General features: G+C 38.9%; 1 protein-coding gene across 10 annotated transcripts in view; it reads right to left on the reverse strand.

The window, feature by feature from the left end:
• Positions 1-18,505, reverse strand: part of NALCN (sodium leak channel, non-selective) — a 363,404-nt gene that overhangs the window by 106,819 nt on the left and 238,080 nt on the right. For all 10 annotated transcript variants that reach the window (XM_011521069.3, XM_011521067.3, XM_024449336.2 and 7 more), the window contains one exon: positions 15,706-15,780. In XM_011521069.3, coding sequence (XP_011519371.1) covers positions 15,706-15,780 — 75 coding nt within the window. The remainder of the gene's footprint in view (positions 1-15,705; positions 15,781-18,505) is intronic.

Below are 18,505 nucleotides of genomic sequence, written 5' to 3' on the forward strand. Positions count from 1 at the left end.
AATCTCTCTGTAATATGCAGGTGAGTTCTCCAAATGTCTGCCTGTTCTGTTTTTTGTTTTGTTTTGTTTTTGTTTTTTTTTATGAAGGTGTTTCTTCCTTATAAATTGCCTTATGGTACAAAGTAACTCATCACCCTTGTCAAAGCTGGTTGAGCCAGAAACCGGGCCAAAGACAGGGACTTTCTATAAGACTGGCCAGCATTGCGAGGCAATCAGAGATGAAATTCCTGCCTAAAAGGAATCATATTGATTAGCTGGATCGACCAAATCTGTTCTTATTGATCAAGTTTTGAACCTGAGATACAGAAAATGTTGACTATTTGCAATGGAACTGAAAGTGAAAATACACAAGGAGGAAAACAGAGACAGGTTGAGTTACCATAAAGGCAAACACCAGCAGTTATTAAATGTTGCTCTTCCTCAAGGCTCCAGCATATTTTTTCTTCCCACCCTATACAATCTCATCCAGATTTACACCTTCCAGTATTATGAAAACATGGAGAACTTTACTAGGACTGAAGCTCAAAGGAGGCAGTCATTTTTGTCTGTTCTGTTCATTGACCTACGCCACATGTCTAGAACAGCACCTGAATAAATAATTGAGAATTACATTGAATGTCCACATTTATATCTCTAGGCAGCCATCCTTCTCCCCTGAACTCCAGACCTATACACAACTATTAGGCATCTCTGTTCAGACATCTTGAAAGATTCACCAACTCAACATGCCCAAGGCTGAGTTGATGAACGTTTCCCCCAAATACGGTTGTATGCTAGTGTTTCTTAACTCAGTTAATGACATTTCATTCATGCAACTGTAGAAACCTGAAACCAGGAATCATCTTTGAGACTCTCTCACTCATGTCTTTAAATCCAACCTATCACCAAGTCCCTCTTGATTTTATTTTCCAAACAGCTCTCTGGTTCACCACTGCCTCCCATCTTATAAGCTTTCAGTGGCTCAGGTTAAAGGTAAACATTAAAGGTAAATGTTCTGGCTGGTATGGTGGCTCATGCCTGTAATCCCAGCACTTTGGGAGGCCAAGGCAGGCGGATCACCTGAGGTCAGGAGTTCAAGACCAGCCTGGCCAACATGGTGAAACCCCGTCTCTTCTAAAAATATAAAAATTAGCCAGGAGTGGTGGCGCACGCCTGTAATCCCAGCTACTCGGGAGGCTGAGGCAGGAGAATCGCTTGAACCTTGGAGGTAGAGGTTGCAGTGAGCCAAGACTGTACCACTGCACTCCAGCCTGGGTGACAGAGTGAGACTGTCTCAAAACAAACAAACAAACAAAAAACAAATGGTAAATGACCTTACCGTGTTTCTCAAGGCACTGCATGGTTCATGCCCTGCTGACTTTTCCACACTTACTCTATACCACTCCACCCTGGTCTTCCTGCATTCTGGGTGCACAGAGGCTTTCCCTTCTCCCTGGAGTTGTGCTCCCCTCCCCTGACCCACCACACCTCCGTGAAGTCCACAAGGCTCATCTTGCAAAACTTAGCTCTCCTGTAACTTTCTTCATCCTCACCCCTGACCACCATTTGTGTCGGGGTCTTCTACGAGTGTCTCTCCTTAAATGATGTTATTTTCTGAAGAAAGCTCATCTCAATCTTTACACAGTTAGGAATTATTTTAATTACTTGATTTACATCCAACTCCCCTATTAGACCAGAAGGCTCCATGGGAGCAAAGAACTTACTTATTATTGTACCTGGCCTAGCGTTGTACACATGGTAGGGACTCAAATATTTGAAGAATGGATGATAAAGCAGATTGTGAGGATGCTTCCAGAAGAACGGAAAAGTACATGAATTACTTGAAAAAAGATCCAAACGGACTGTGTGAAAGTTGAGTTCAAAAGGAATCAGGGCAATGACTCCAGCTCCAGCATGTTCCTATTTAATGTGTAGGTCCACACAGGGTAAACCTCACTATTCTAACTCCTCACAACAAATCTTAACACAACTATAAGAGTGCCTTTTTGTAATTCAACAACTGCCAGGCACCGCATAAAACTGAAAACTGTCATGCTTTTCTCTTAGAACCATTGCAATCTAGTTTCCCACTGCCTGTGACAGGATCTGAAAGAAAAAGTGCTGCGAGGTTGCTCTTCCTTATCATCCTTGCTGTTTTCAATGGTACAGTGCAGTAAGCTCATGCTTCTTAACAATTTTGTTCTCTTGATTAAAGGAAACAAAATAAAATAGCATCCTTACAGTTAAGCAGTGGGTGGTGTTCAGTTGGAGTTGAAGTGTGAGCTTCTCTCCTGTTTGGGCACATCTTCCCTCCAAATCCCACTATATTTTATTTTATTTATTTTTTTGAGATGGAGTTTCACTCTTGTTGAGATGGAGATTCGCAGACGCGATCTCAGCTCACTGCAACCTCTGCCTCCTGGGTTCAAGTGATTCTCCTGTCTCAGTCTCCCAAGTAGCTAGGACTACAGGCGCCCGCCACTACGCCTGGCTAATTTTTTGTATTTTTAGTAGAGATAGGGTTTCACCATATTGGCCAGGCTAGTCTCAAACTCCTGACCACAGGTGATCCACCTGCCTCGGCTTCCCAAAGTGCTGGGATTACAGGTGTGAGTCACCATGCCTGGCCTATATATATATATATTTTAATTGAAGGGTTACCTTGCAGAGTGCTGTGGAAACTAGAATGAAAATAATTCTGAATTAGCACAATTAAAGAATGATACAACCGACAACCCACCATTGTAGACTCGAGTGGACAATCTTAGGTGTGTAGTTTCATGTTTGTTCCATGGTAAGAGAGATCATGCTAACAAAACAGTCCCGAGTACCCATGGATGAGGCAAAGAAAAGGTCTCTAAAACAATGTCCTTCTGGTTTGAGTTAATCACACATGACATGAAATTTTGGAAGGGCTTACAGAAACCTTTCCTCTAAGAAAGTCTCAAGTCTATAAAATTTTACTATGATGGGGTTTGATTCCTATAATCAAAGAAAGGCAGAAGAAAATAACTCCAACTGCTGAGAAAGCTGCTCCAGGGTGGCGCAGGCTGGCGTAGGATTCCAAGGGTACGTCCATTGTTCCCTGCTGCCCCATGCTCTCAGCCAGGCTACTTGCCAGCTTTAGAAGGGATCGTTTCTTCTTGAGTCCAGAGAACAAGGCTCTGGAGGTGTGTTAGTTGTCTAGGGCCGCTGCCACAAAGTTCCAAAAAACTGGGTGGCTGAAAACAGAAATGTATTGTCTCATATTTCTGGGGGCTGGAAGTCTGAGATCAAGATGTCAGCAAGGCAAGCTCCTTCTGGAGGTTCTGAGGGGGGTCTACTCCATGGGACTTTTCCAGCTGCTTGTGATGCCAGCAATCCTGGGTGTTCCTTGTGGACCACATCACTCTGGTCTGTGGCTTCATCATCACACAGTGCTCTCTCTGTGTGTCTGTGTCTGTGTCTCTTCTCTTTTTATGAGGACAACAGTCATATTGAGTCCACCCTAATGACCTCATCTTAACCTGATTGCATCTACAAAGACCCTATTTCCAATCAAGTTACATTCACAGGGACTGAGGCGTAGGGCTTCCACGTACCTATTTGAGGGACAGAATTCCACTCATATCAGGAGAACATCAATTCTAACAGGTACTTCTGTTTTGAACTGACTTTTTGAATCTCCCACCTATACTTATTTGACTGTAAAAATCCAGTTGGCTGTTTCTATCTTTATCTTTCTTGGGGGGTTGGGGGGACAGGGTCTTTCTCTGTTGCCCAGGCTAGAATGCAGTGGCACAATCACAGCTCACTGCAGCCTTGACCTCCCAGGCTCAAGTGATTCTCCTACCTCAGCCTCACAAGCAGCTGGGACCACAGGTATGGACCACCACACTGCGATAATTTTTATTTTTTGTAGAGATGAGGGTCTCACTATATTGCCCAGGTTGGTCTCCAACTACTGGGCTCAAGCGATCCTCCCACCTTGGCCTCCCATATTTCTACTTTTTGAATGACTTCTAGATTCCTAGGCTGTTGTTTTTATGTTGATAATTGATATTCCCAAATTCTGAGCCTCTGTTGTGACTTCTTGGCTTAAACCTTGATCTAAACTGTTCTGTCTTAGCCATTTCATTTCTTCAAACCAATTTTATTGCTGTTTATGTCTTAGTGTGACAGAGAATTTATTATAAAAAGTCTAACATTTATTATAAAAGTAAGAATTTATTATAAAAGTAAGTAGCTATTTCAGAAATAGCAGATCAAATGCTCTATAAGCTGATCTTTTGAGATTTACATCATGGAAAGTTATGGGCAATAATAAACTGACCTCAAAAGAGTCATCTCTGACCAAAAGATTGAAAGAATGGCTTCAAGTGGAGTTAGGTAGCATCAACAGATTTGAGTGAAATGCAGAGTTTTTCAACTCTCAGCCACTAATGATTTATAGGTTCTTCAGGGTACGGTCCTCTCGCTCCTGGGCAGCTGTTCCCTGGAGCATCAGGAATCCTTGATATCTGATATTTCCAGCTGCTTTTGCTTCCTACCTATTGACTTCAGCGTGTTGTACAAATATCATTCTCTATGCATACCACAATGGCAAAAGGTTGGGTAGCACTGTAGCAAATGGTGTTAACATATCTAACAAAATTAAGAATCAGCCAGCAACCAGGTGGTCTATCTGGAAACAGAGTATGAGGCGTTTGAGGAAAAGGTTGGTGATCCACCTTCACTTCCTTACCCGTCATTGATTCCCTATCCTCTGCAACCCAGCTCTGTATCATCGAAGGCCCTGAGCTTGCTCTTATTGCCTTCACTAACCACCTCCTTATTGTTAATATGATCAGTTTTAAATAAAAGAAATTAATTGTGGTAAAAAACATACAACATAAATTTTGCCATCTTGATCATTTTTGTCGTTGTTGTTGTTATTTGAGACAGGGTCTCACTCTTGCCCAGGCCGAAATGTAATGGCATGATCACAGCTCACTGAAGCCTTGATCTCTTGGGCTCAAGCAATCCTTTCACCTTGGCCACCTACGTAGCTGTGACTACAGGCATGCGCCACCATGTCCGGCTAGGCTAATTTTTTGTATTTTTAGTAGAGACAGGGTGTTGCCACGTTGCGCAGGCTGATCTCAAATTCCTGGGCTCAAACAATGTGCTTACCTCGGCCTCCTAAAGTTTTGGGATTACAGGCGTGAGCCACCACGCCTAGCCCCATCTTAACCATTTTAAGTGTACAGTTCAGCAGTGTTAAACATACTCACATTGTTGTACAACAGATCTCCAGAACTTTTTCATCTTTCAAAGTGGAAACTCTGTACCCATTGAACAACAATGGGTTTACTCCCCTCCCTAGCCCCTGGCAACTCTCATTCTGTCTTCTGTTTCTCTGAATTTGACTACTTTAGATAAACTCACATAAGAGAAACCATACAGAATTTGTCTTTTTGTGACTGGCTTATTTCACTTAGCATGATGTCCTCAAGGTTCATCCATGTGTAGCATGTGTCAGAGTTTTATTCATGTTTAAGGCTGAATGATATTTCCTTGCGTGTAGATACCACATTTTGTTTATCTATTCATCCACTGGTGGACACTAGGGTTGCTTCCACCTTCTGTTATTGTGAAAAATACTGCAATGAACATGAGTGTGCAAATATGTCTTTGAGATTCTATTTTCATTTCTTTTGGATATACATATCCAGAAGTATATTTTATCATATGATCATGCTACTTTTAATTTTTTGAGGAACTGCCATACTGTTTTCCGCAGCAGCAGCACCATTTTACATTCTCATCAACAAAGTACAAATGTTGCAATTTTTTCACATTCTTGCCAAACTGTTTTTTTTTTTGATAGTGGCCATTCTAATAGGTATAAAGTGGTATCTCATTGTGGTTTCTATTTGCATTTCTCTAATGATTAGTGATGTTGAACATCTTTTCATCTACTTGGCCATTTGTATACCTTTTTTAGATAAATGTCAGCTTAAGTATTTTGCCTATTTTTAAAACAGATTATTTGTATTTTTCTTGTTGACTATAGGAGCTCTTTCATATTCTCAATATTAACTCCTCATCAGACACACGATTTGCAAATATTTTCTACAATCCCATAGGTTGGCTTTTCACTCTATTGATTGTTTCCTTTGACGTGCAAGTGTTTTTAAGTTTAATGCAGTCTCCTATTTTTGCTTTTGCTGTCTGTGCCATATCCAATAAATCATTGACAATTCCAATGTCATGAAGCTTTTGCCTTGTTTTCTTCTAGGAGCTTTATGGTTTTAGGTCTTTTGTTAAGGTCCTTAATCCATTTTGAGCTAATTTTTATATATGATATAAGGTAAGGGCCAAACTTCATTCTTTTGTGTGTGGTATCCAATTTTTCAACATCATTTGTTGAAGAGACTGTCCTTTCCCCATAGTGTGGTCTTGACACCACTGTTGAAGATCATGTGACTATATATGTGAGGGTTTACTTGTGGCCTCTCTATTCTGTTCCACTGGTCTATATGTGTGCCTTTATGCCAGTATCACACTGTTTTGATTATTTTATCTTTGTAATATGTTTTGAAATCAGGAAGTATGACATCTTCAAGTTTGTTCTTTTTCAGAATTGTTTTGGCTATTTGGTATCCCTTAAGATTTCGTATGAATTTTAAGATTTCTTTTCTATATCTGCAAAAAGCGTCATTGGAATTTTACGAAAGATTGCATTGAATCTGTAGATTGCTTTGGATGGTATGAACATTTTAACAATATTAAGCCTTCCAGTTCTTCAACACAGAATGTCTTTTCACTTGCAGATGTTCCTCAACTTACAATAGGGTTTATAAATTCATTATAAGTTGAAAATACTGTAAAAGTGCATTTTTTAACTTATGATATTTTCAAGTTACTATGAGTGTTTCTGGATATAATTCCATCATAAGTTGAGGAGCATACTGAGCGTGTATCTGTTTTGCACCATCATAAAATCAGAAAATTGTAAGTTGCCAGGTTAGGTGGTTCACGCCTGTAATCCCAGCACTTTGGGAGGCTGAGGCAGGTGAGTCACTTGAGGTCAGGAGTTCGAGACCAGCCCTGGCCAACATGGTGAAACCCTGTCTCTACTGAAAATACAAAAATTAGTTGGATTTGGTGGTGCATGCCTGTAATCCCAGCTACTTGGTAGACTGAGGCAGGAGAATCACTTGAACCTGGGAGGCAGAGGTTGCAGTGAGCCAAAGATCATGCTACTGCACTCCAGCCTAAGGAAAAGGTTGAGACTCTGTCAAAAAAAAACAAAAACAAAAACTGTTAAGTCGAATCATCGTAAGTCAGAATTCATCTTTATTTGTGGCTTAAGTTCTTTCCTCAGTATTTTATAGTTTTCAGGGTATGTGTCTTTGCCTCCTTGGCTAAGTTTATTCCAAGTATTTTATTCTTTTTGGTGCTACTGTAAATGGGATTGCTTTCCATGGTGACTATTTTTTTGACCTCTCTGAAGTCTTTGAGATCGTTGAACAAGGATCTCTCTTGAAACTCTTTCACCTTTTGATCTTGGTGACAAACACATTCTAGGCTTTCCTCTTACCTCTTGTGCTGTGACTTCTCATACACATTTTGGCTCCTCCTCACTGGTTCATACCATTTATTTATTACCCCTTAGGGAACCATCCTTCCCTTGGTAAGTTCCTGCTCTCTAAAGGCTTAAATTACCATCTGCATGTTGATTTTGCTCTTTTTCAGTATCTATTTCAGCCTAGATATTCCACCTAAGCTTTAAACTTTGTATCTCTCCATAGACATTGTCTCATAGATATTTCCCAGGCATCTCAGGGAAAATATGACCAAACTTCTTCCCCCGAAAAAAAACCCAAATAAACAAAACTCTCATTTCTTCTTTCTCTTGTATTTCTTCTGCATCAGCGCACTTAAAGAAATCTAGAAATCTGGGTGACATCCCTGTGTCCTGGTTTTTCTCACTTCCTACATCCAATTTGTCACTAAATCCTCTTCTCTGTACTCCACCGCTTTCGATATTCTCTCATTCCTATTTCCTTTGGTTCAGGCTGCCATCACCACTTGCCTCAAGAACGGATTCTTCCATCTCCAGTCTGGGTGCCCTCCAGTGCATTTCACACTGACACCAAAATGTAGGTATGATTATGACACCCTGTGGCATCAATACCATCAGAATAATATCAAAATGCTTAGTGCTGCTCAAGCATTTCCTGTGCTGGTATCTCCTTATTTTTCCAGTTAACAATTTTCTCTCTTGCTCTACACATTAGCCACAGCAAACTCTTAGTGTCGAGAAAGCCACTCTGTTTTTTTCCCACCTAAAAAAGACTCTGCAGTTCCCTTGGTCTTCACTACCCTCCTTCATGCCATCTTCCTCCAACCCTCTTCACCTGGATTAGCACTACTCAACCTCCAGATTTCAGTCTGCACCTGCTTGTGAGAAAACGTCCCTGATTTCACAGTCTGCTTTAGATGTTTTCTGTGTGCTTCCGAAACATTATCCTTATAATCATCACCACTGAACCCAAACTGCCTGTTTACTTGTCTTTTTCTCCCACTGGCTCAGGAGTTATTTTTGAGGGTAGAAACAGTGTCCTGACCATCACATGTCCCTAGCCCCAACACAATATCTATAGCATAGTAGATGAGTGTCCAGACCCCAGTTTCACAGAATGAGTAGATTTAGTTTCTAGGTCACTAATATCTCAACTGTAAAAGAGATAACTCAGTTGATCTCAGCCTATCTTAGCCTATGCCATTATGTATTTTTAAAAATATTTTTATTTATTTTTAGATTTTACTTTAAATACTGGGATACATGTGCAGAATGTGCAGGTTTGTTACACAGGCTTACATGTGCCATGGTGGTTTGCTGCATCTATCAAACCATCATCTATGTATTTAAATCACACAACCTTTCTCGCCTCCCTCTCCATCCTGATTCCTGGCTCACTAAGCTATAGTCTGATTATAATTTGGCTTCTTCTTTGAATACCCACAGGGAGAAAATATGCTGATCTAAAAAATGGATAAGCATCTCATCCAATCCACACCTAGATATGCTTTTCATTATAAATGAAGGAGCTGGTTCTCTGCAGGCAGCATGGCCTTTTTCAGCAAGGACATTGGTTTAGGGTCAGACAGCCTTTGTGGCTCTGACCCAGGCACATATGAATTGTGTGGACTTGGGTGAGAAATTCACTCCCCTGAATGTTAGTTGCCACGTCTTTAATATTTAGGATTAAATGTGATAATTTAATATAAAGTAGCCTACACAAGGTAGTTCTCAATAGATAGCATTTGCTCCTGCAGCAGTTATATCAGTCTTTTAAAATTACATTAGTTTGAGTTCATTCATGAGAGACTGACAAAATGCTGAGAAGATTGAAGATTCAACTAACATCAGGAGATGCAACCAGTGCTCAGCCGAATGGCATCTTCCAGCAGTATCCCTGCCACCTTGCTACCGCCCTCAATCTGGAATGAACTCAATATAGGCGACAAAATGGACATGCAAATGAGAGCTTCAGGTGTGTTAGGCAAGATTCTCCAGAGAAACAGGACCAATAAAATATACATCAGTATTTATTTTAAGGTATTGGCTCATGTAATTATGGAGGCTGATGATAAGTCCCACTATCTGCTCTCTTCAAGCTGGAGACCTTTGGAAGCCAGGGCAACATTTTGAAGGCCTAAGAACCAGGATTCCTCAGGGCAGGAGAAGGTTGTTTACATGGTGCAGGCAATGAGACAGACAGCAAATTCAGCTTTCCTCCACCTTTTTGTTCTATCTGGGACCTCAAAGCTTTGGAAGTGGTTTAACGACATTGGGGAAGGAGGTCTGCTTTACTCAGGCTACCAATTCAAATGCAAATCTTTCCAGAACCACCCGACAGATGCACCCAGAAACAATGTTTTACCAGCTATCTGGGCATCCCTTAGCCCAGTCAAGTTGACACATAAAATCAACTATCATGCAGCTTAAGGCTAAAGAAAAACATTCACCTAGAGCTCATACTTTAACAAAAGAGAATATAAGATATTTATGGTTTTTGTTTAAAAAAGTCACAGTCAATAAGAAAGGAAAGCTTCTTAATATATAATATCTATCCAACACTATGCAGTGGACTCTAGCAAAGACCAAACATCATTAAATTGGAACCAGGATTCAAGTGAGACTGGATACAGGGCTGGGTAAACAGTTTTCAATTTCACAGCTCTGAATTTAATCTAAACAGACTACCTATACTTCCCTTTTCGATGATTCCTCCCCTCAGGCTTTTCTGTGGGTTTTTTCTTCCCTCAAAGCTTAATGAATTTTATACCACTTAAAAGAAAACCCTTTATATCTGTCTTTCACCAAATTTGCAAAAATCATTAAAGCTGCAAGAATTCTCTTCATATTCAAACCTTGCAAAACTCTGTGTACATTCCCCAGTGTCATTCCTGCATCACTTGAGCTTCACAGTCATCAACTCTTCCGTTCAGAGAAGTTTTAGGTCAAGGGTTTTGTTGTAGCCTCTATACCAACTGATTTATCAGGAATCTCCTCAGCTCACCACAATCTCATTTTTAGCCAATTTTTAAATGTCATGCAGAAACAATGTTTTATATATATGTGTGTATAAATACTAAATATAAAAAATATAATTTTTATATACTGTTACATATATTACACACATTATGTATAATTTATGTCATGTATTACATATATTTATAAATATAATCTTTATATTTAATATATACATATACGTATAGATATTACATATATGTAATACAAAATTATAATATATTTTTGTATTTAATGTATGACATATACATATATGTTACATATATTACATATATGTAATAATAGATATACACACACACACATATATATTTTTTTCCGAGGTCTCTGTATTGGCTTTTGGGGATGCTGAAAAGAGAAATATGGTTTCTACGTACTTCAATATGGGGGTCATGTAAATGATGGCAGCTATGAAAAGATTACGCTGCCCTATTGCTATTAGCAATCAGCTGTGTCATATATATAACACACAGGGAAGGCAATAGAGGAATTTCATATGGTTATATGATTGAGGTGAGTTTTTGGAACATGATTGTGGGAAGTGACAAAGGAAAAGCCATAGAGGTGACCATCACGGCACACACTGGTGATGTCTTGGAGAGGCGGTGATGGGAATAAACACACCAGAGCCTCTCAAAATTTCTGTGCAAAAAGTCCTTTTACTTTCTCCTCTGGATTCTAAAACCCAAACTTCTTTCCTGCCAAAATGCCTCGATTAAGCAATAAGAAATTCATTGTAGCTTTAAACAAATTTGCTTAAAGGAAACTATATATGAAAACACTTCAGAACTATAGTATTAAGGAAACAGTGCTGCCACTTAGAATTTTCAGGTTTCCAGCTAAAAGTATTAAACTTGACATTTTATTTAGCAGGTGCGGGCTTATATTAAGTGAATGCACAATTCTCTTCCAGCTTCCTGAAGTATTAAAAATGACACCATAGCTTCTCATGAGGACGCCTAGAGCTCAGCAGTCCTTGGCTAGAAACCACCTCTGATGCACACGGAGGTTGCATAGAAAAATAATGGGAAAAGACATACAGCGCCATGCTTCTCTTCCAGGAGAACACGGGCCCACCGACAATCCATCATGCAGCCCATGCCTGCCCTCAGGGAGCTTCTGAGGGGAACGCCCTGGTGGGCTTTGACTTTTGGCCACTGACTTGCTCACATTCCTAACTCTGGATTTGGCCACATTCCTGCACCTTTATCCCTGAGTTATAGTCATACTCTTTATTTCATATCTGGTGTTTTCCTACTTCACTTCTTCCTTCTTTTCCATTATAATTTCTTCACTAGTACCTTTTCACTTTCTACCACCATCTCACACCCTTAGCTTAAGGGCGGCCTCTCCTCTCCCCTGTATGAGGGCTGCTTCCTCTTCCTCTGTTGAGCCCTACTGAGTGTTGCATGTTAACACCCCCATTTATTGTTATTATTATTTGAGACGGAGTCTCGCTCTGTCACCCAGGCTGGAGTACAGTGGCGCCATCTTGGCTCACTGCAAGCTCCGCCTCCCGGGTTTACGCCATTCTCCTGCCTCAGCCTCCCAAGTAGCTGGGACTACAGGTGCCCGCCACCACGCGCAGCTAATTTTTTTGTTTTTCGTATTTTTAGTAGAGACGGGATTTCACCGTGTTAGCCAGGATGGTCTCGATCTCCTGACCTCGTGATCCGCCCACCTCAGCCTCCCCAAGTGCTGGGATTACAGGTGTGAGCCACCGCGCCTGGCCAACACCCCCATTTTAGAGCGAACAGGCCCTGGTTTTTATTACTCTTGAAAAAAATCTATGAACCAACTTTTACATATTAACACAGTTAAAAACATATCGATAATAAAAGACATTAAAGTCACTAAAATGCTGCTATGCTGCAAGCCTGTTATGTAGGCGTCTGAGGAGGATCATCACTCCAAGAAGATCATTGCAAAGTGGCACCTTGAGTGGCGTTTGCCATCGCGCAGCAAGACTGTAACTCCAGTGGCTCTGATTAGATCCTCTGAGTTTTGAGAGGAAACAAAGAACTAATGTGAATAGTTTTAACGATTGGGTTGCTGCATTCACCGCTATTCTCAGAAACTGTCCTTCATTCTAACAGTTACTTGAATATGAGGATGCCTTTGTTATCTACAACATCATTATTTATAAACAAATAATTCATAGTCCTATGAGTGCCCTCCCCAGTATGCATGACTCATGTTTGGCCTTTATATAGCTTTAGTTTGAATCAATACAGTTTAGAGGTTAAGAGTGTGGGCTTTCGGTCCAAATTGCCTAGGTTCAAATTCTAGCTCCGACATTTGTTGGCTGTGTAACCTTGAGCAAGTTACTTAACCTCTCTATGTCTTAGTTTCCTCATCTGTAAGATGGACATAATAATAACACCTGCATTGAATGGGTCGTTTTGAAAAATAAGTGAAAACATAAAACACTTGATACTGAGCAAGAATTCAACCAATGTCACCATAGCTATGAGAATCTACATACAAGCAGATGTGGTAAAAGAAGCAAAAAGTTTGAACGGAGCAAAGATGGAATTTGGAATGCATAGCGCTTTCTGAAACTTGAAACATTAAGAAAATCAAATACTTTTTTTGAACATTTCCTCCACTCTACTCTCTATCTGGGAGTAGTAAAAATAGAGTACATAAGTTTAAATCTTAAGGACTGGATTTGTACATGGACAATTGAAACAAATATTTAGGGTACCAATTTCATTGTTTTTTAAAAGAATCTGTAAAAGACAGTCTAAAGTTTCAGGTATCCACATGACCACATGTGTATATGAAAGTGAATGCATGAGAATGTGTGTGTTTTTAAAAATATGCAAATGAGCCCTACCTTAAAGGCCAAGATCACTGAAAATAAGAAAAATCAGGGGCATAAAAAATGACACCGTTGTTAAAAACTACTGAAAACAAAACATAATCATACAAAAATGAGAGAAAGTTAACCAGGAACACTTTAACTTAGTTTAATAATATTTGCTATAATGAATTTCAGGTTCAACGAGTTTCAAGTATGAAATTAATAGAAGAATTTAATAGATACATAGTTTCAGTCCAACCATGAATAAAGAATAGTGTAAAAAGTACTAACAAAAATGGAATTGCTGCGTTATGATTGGAGTTTTCAATGCCCAAATACCCAGAGTATATGGTCCAAATTGTAGGCTAGTGCAATTGGATAACCAGTTCTGATATACAGAATTTCCAGAAACACAAAGCTTCACTAATATCTAGCAAGTGATTAAAAGCCATTTTATAAATAATGACATTTACCCAAAGTGAAGGGCCATATAGTTTATTAAAACTTTATAGCCCAGGAAGAATGTCAATGCCAATTAAAGTCCTGACTTTTTATTGTTGCTTCTTCACTTTGGGTCAGATATGAAATGCCTATTGTGACCACTAGATATAAAGATGACAAAAAATTTAAGTAGGCTATGCATATACGTGTATATATAAATAAGTTAAAATGTTGAAAAAAATGAACACTGCAAAGTATCCTTAGGTTTGAATTCACAATCCTGAAAAAATTGCTACATACAAGTTTATTTTGTTGCTTTCCAGCAGAAAAATTATTTTACAAATGAGGGCTGGAATTATATGGTTATTTAAAAGCATATGGAACCTGGCGGTAGCACTAGCTAAAAAAAATTGGATATTTTAAATTTTATCTATAGAATACACATTGTAACATACTGTCTCAGAGGATAGTACATATCTGTGCATAATAACCATGGCATGAAGGAAAAGTGACAGCTCAATACCAGATTTGTAAAGCATGGACTAAAGTGGTTCTACAGCAGCAGATTTTTATTGATCATGTCTAATTATATGGCTGGTCACTTTCAATCTTGAATTCACCTATTAGATATTTTTTTCTGCAACTAGAAGCCACACAAAGTATTTTCATTGATGGCATAAAGGAATGTCCCAACTCTCATTTGAAGAATCTATCACTGCTGCCACAGAGTGAAAAGACGGGGAAGAAATCATCTCTAGCAGAGCCGGGAAGATGCCCATTTGCCTGGGTAGCTGTAGGATGGTAAAGAACTCAAAACCTTTCTTGGTATGCTCCAAGTAGGAATCTTCATAACAATTTTTTTTTGTTTGTTTGTTCTGTTTTTTTTTTTCCTTGTTGATACCCTCTGTTAAAAGCATAGGCTTTAAAGGTAAGAGTAATAAAATGAAATGCCTAACCTGATCATGAGATAGATTAAAAAAAATTAAAAAATTTAAATAGGTTATACTTTTTGCTTTGTTAAAAATAGAGAGCTTTGGGAAATTCTGAATATGGAGGGCCTGCTTATAATTCCAAATGGAAAGTTTCAGAGCCATGGTTCTGTTAACATTATAACAGGTGTGGTTCTGTCAACATTATAACATTCTAACAGTTGGGTAGAGTTTGGTAGTTAACATCTCAACTATTCTCTCAGTTTTGGGGAGGGTGATACAAGAACGTTCCACCCATTGTCCCACTCTCTTGCGAGCTCTTCTTCTCAAAGGGTCTGTACTCTTTGATAGAGCCAAATATTCAAGCCAAATATCCTCCATGCAACAGAAGCTATAGGAATGATTGACGATAGCTGTAATCCTCCTGCCATTAAGAACACAGCATTCACCTATTTCTAGTTTCATTCTCTGGGGTATAACTTTCACCATGATGACATCCCGTCTGTTTTCATACATAACTGGGTCCACATTTGATCATTTATTCTGTTTCTTATACTCACTATGGGCACCCAGACTAAATTGTCCTTTAGTGTCTAGAGACCAGGCAGGTTGATTGTAGTATTTTTATGATGATGATAAAGACTATTACATATAATTATGCAAAATCTGGCCTTGAGGCATCTCATTTCCAAACAACCTTCATTTAATGGCAGAAGGAGAACAGTCTCCAAATCCAATTAACTATACTCTGCCCATTTTACTTTTATTCAAAAATAATAAAACTATTCCTAGGATATTTATAGAGTAATAGAAAGTTTCCCTTGTTAATATTAGATAAAAGTTAAACTTAACACCATTTTACCACCTTCGATAGCCTTATTACATTTTATTTTTACTTTGAAGCTCAAATTTTTAATATTGCCTATAAGCAAATGGTTTGCCCCTGGTTTTTTGTCCTTTTTAAAAAAAATCCCCCACACACTACTTACTTGTTTAAGCTTCTTTAGGTCTTCATCAAGTTCTAAGTTGTCCAAAATAACAGCAACAAACAAACTCAGGAGGATCTATAAAATGGTGAAATAACAATGAAAAAACCCACATGCCATAAGTATCAAAATATTATATGTATAATATAGCTACCTAAAATATATTGAGTATATAATTCATTAAATGCAAAATAAACATGCAGTGATGAATCATTGCATAGGCATTTCAAGGTATTTATCACAAATACATGAAATAAAATGCATACGTTCATTGAAATAATATGTTAACTTGCTTTATGAAACCAACTTACTTAAAAAGGAAATTAAGAAAAAGGTTTTTTTGAACTCAACAATCCCACTTGTGTGATAATATTCTAAAAAAGTGATCTGAACTATTGATGAAAAGCTTAATATACACAGGTGCTTATTAGAGGGTTGTTTGTAATAAGGAAATATTAGAAATAACATCCAACTTTGCATGAATAGTCAATACAGTTATAGAGATTTATGTGATAAGATACATGCAGCCATTACAAATTCCCATGTGGTAGCTACTCTTCAAGATGGCCTCCAGCGTTGTTCTAGACTCCTGGTTCATGCCTTTGTGTAGTTCCCTTCCACACTGAATATGTCTGGCCTGTGTCATCAGCAGGTTGCAGAAATAATTGTGTGTGACTTATGAGGCTAGGCAATAAAATACACTGTGTCTTTACCCTTGGTCTCTCCTAGATCACCTGCTCTGTGGAAGCAGGTGCTATGTTGTGAGGATGCTCAAGCAGCCCTCTGGAGAGGTCCATGTGGTGAGGAACTGAGGCCTCCTGCCAACAGCCACTGGAGTGACCCATCTTGGAAAGAGGCACTCCAGCCCTAGTAAAACTTCAAGGTGACTGCAGCTGTAGACAACATCTCAACTGCAACCTCATGACACTTTGAACTAGAAACACTCAGCTAAGCCTGTCTCAGATTCCCAACCTTGAGAAACTAATTGAGATAATAAACATCTATTTCCTGGTAGGCTTCTAATGTGTGGGTAATTTATTACACAGCAACAGATACCTAATACACTGGTGAATTTTTATGGTGTTGAAAACACATTATAACAGTAAATACGAGTATATATATATATATATATATATGGTAGAAGCTCAACTATGCATATAACGGAGTAATAGAGAAAATGCTTGAAGGAGGTACTTTAGAAATATTAATGGTACTTGCTTTTGTGTATTGGAGTAATACAATTTTTCCTCTTTTAAAAAATGTTATGATTTTCTCAGTTTTTAAAAAATGTATGCTTCTTTTAGAACAGGTAAATAAAATAAAACAAAATAGCATAATTTTTAAAAATATTTTACGCTGTAGTCCCTCTTCAACTTTGAATTTTTTTAAGTCCCATATTCACTTGATCATCTTTTTCATTTCTAACTCATATTTTTCTTTTCAGTTTTCTTCTTAATGAATTATTCCCATTTGTTAATATTAGGTGGTTAAGCATGAAGGTCAGAAAGTTGAGATAATTCAGCCAGTGCTAGAGAAGTTATTATGCAGAAGTTAATGGCTAGCTCTTTTTCAATTTTAATGAGTATATCAACATGATTAAATTATGATGGGATATGCTTGGCTTGGGACAAATGCCAGCACCCTTCTTTTCAACAGCCATGCCCTTTGGAGTCTTACCATAACTTGAAGAAGATACAGAATGATCTAGACCAGAGGGTTTTTATTAACATCACCATGACTGGTACACCACTGGTAACTGGGCATCAGGCTTATTCTGAACCAGACATCATTCCAAACTGGACATTTTAAAGTTTGCTCCATGTTCAGCCCATTTCCCAATACCTCGACGACAGAAAGTAATATCAGAGGCAGAGTCTACCTTCCCCTGTCTTGATTTCTCACCCCGAATTCTGAGATGTTCACCTGCTGGTTTCCTTCTGCAGGAGGGGATATCTTATACCCCTTCTCTCACACCTGGGCACTGGAGCAGGCATTGTTCTGTGTCCTAATTTAATCATGTTTCCTCTCTCTCTAGTGAAAGTACAAACATGAATCTAAAAAAAGGGGGGTCGGAAGGGATCCTGTTCGCCTCCCTTTTCTTAGAGCATTTCCTTTATAAGACTTGGAATTGTAAATTCTTTCCCTTTCTGTTTGAGATGTATATAAATACTTTTAAGAGCCAAATAAGCTTCTCACCAGTTCTACAACCTAAAAGAATGTTTTCCTTGAGGGCTGTCTCCTTGAAGTAATGTAAACATCAAGGAAGACAAGAGCCTCCGTCTCCCCTTCTCCGTAGAGGGTGGGAGTTTAGACATCTGGCTCCAAGTTGTAAACCTACCTACTTGTCACGGAAATATGAGAAGTTTTAATTTTCCTTTGGATAAAGGCAATCAGCTCCCACAGATGGCCACCCCACTTACCAGGTGAATTTAGGATAAACTATATTTAACAAGTGGTGCTGTCAAGCCTTCTTACTTGAGGACTAGTTATTTCTATCTTGAGAACACGTATGGAAAGCGGTGATATAAAAGAGGGAGGTATTTTCTGCCTCCGTGATCTCTTTAGCAGATTGCCAGTGATGTGCATTGCAGCCTGCGTTAGAGCTTTTTCAATAATAAAACTGGGCTCTCTCTCCTCTACCTTTAAGGAGAGGTTTCGTGGGTTGGCAGGAGATTTTATTCTTAATTATATCCCCCAAACTGGACAGAGGGCAGGCTACTTAAGGACAGCAAGGCTATGTTATTCTATTAAATTTGACAAACAGTTGACTGGACTCCATGGATGTGTGAGGCACTGCCTGGTC

Source organism: Homo sapiens, chromosome 13, assembly GCF_000001405.40.
Source record: "Homo sapiens chromosome 13, GRCh38.p14 Primary Assembly".
In the NCBI taxonomy this organism is placed as follows: domain Eukaryota; kingdom Metazoa; phylum Chordata; class Mammalia; order Primates; family Hominidae; genus Homo; species Homo sapiens.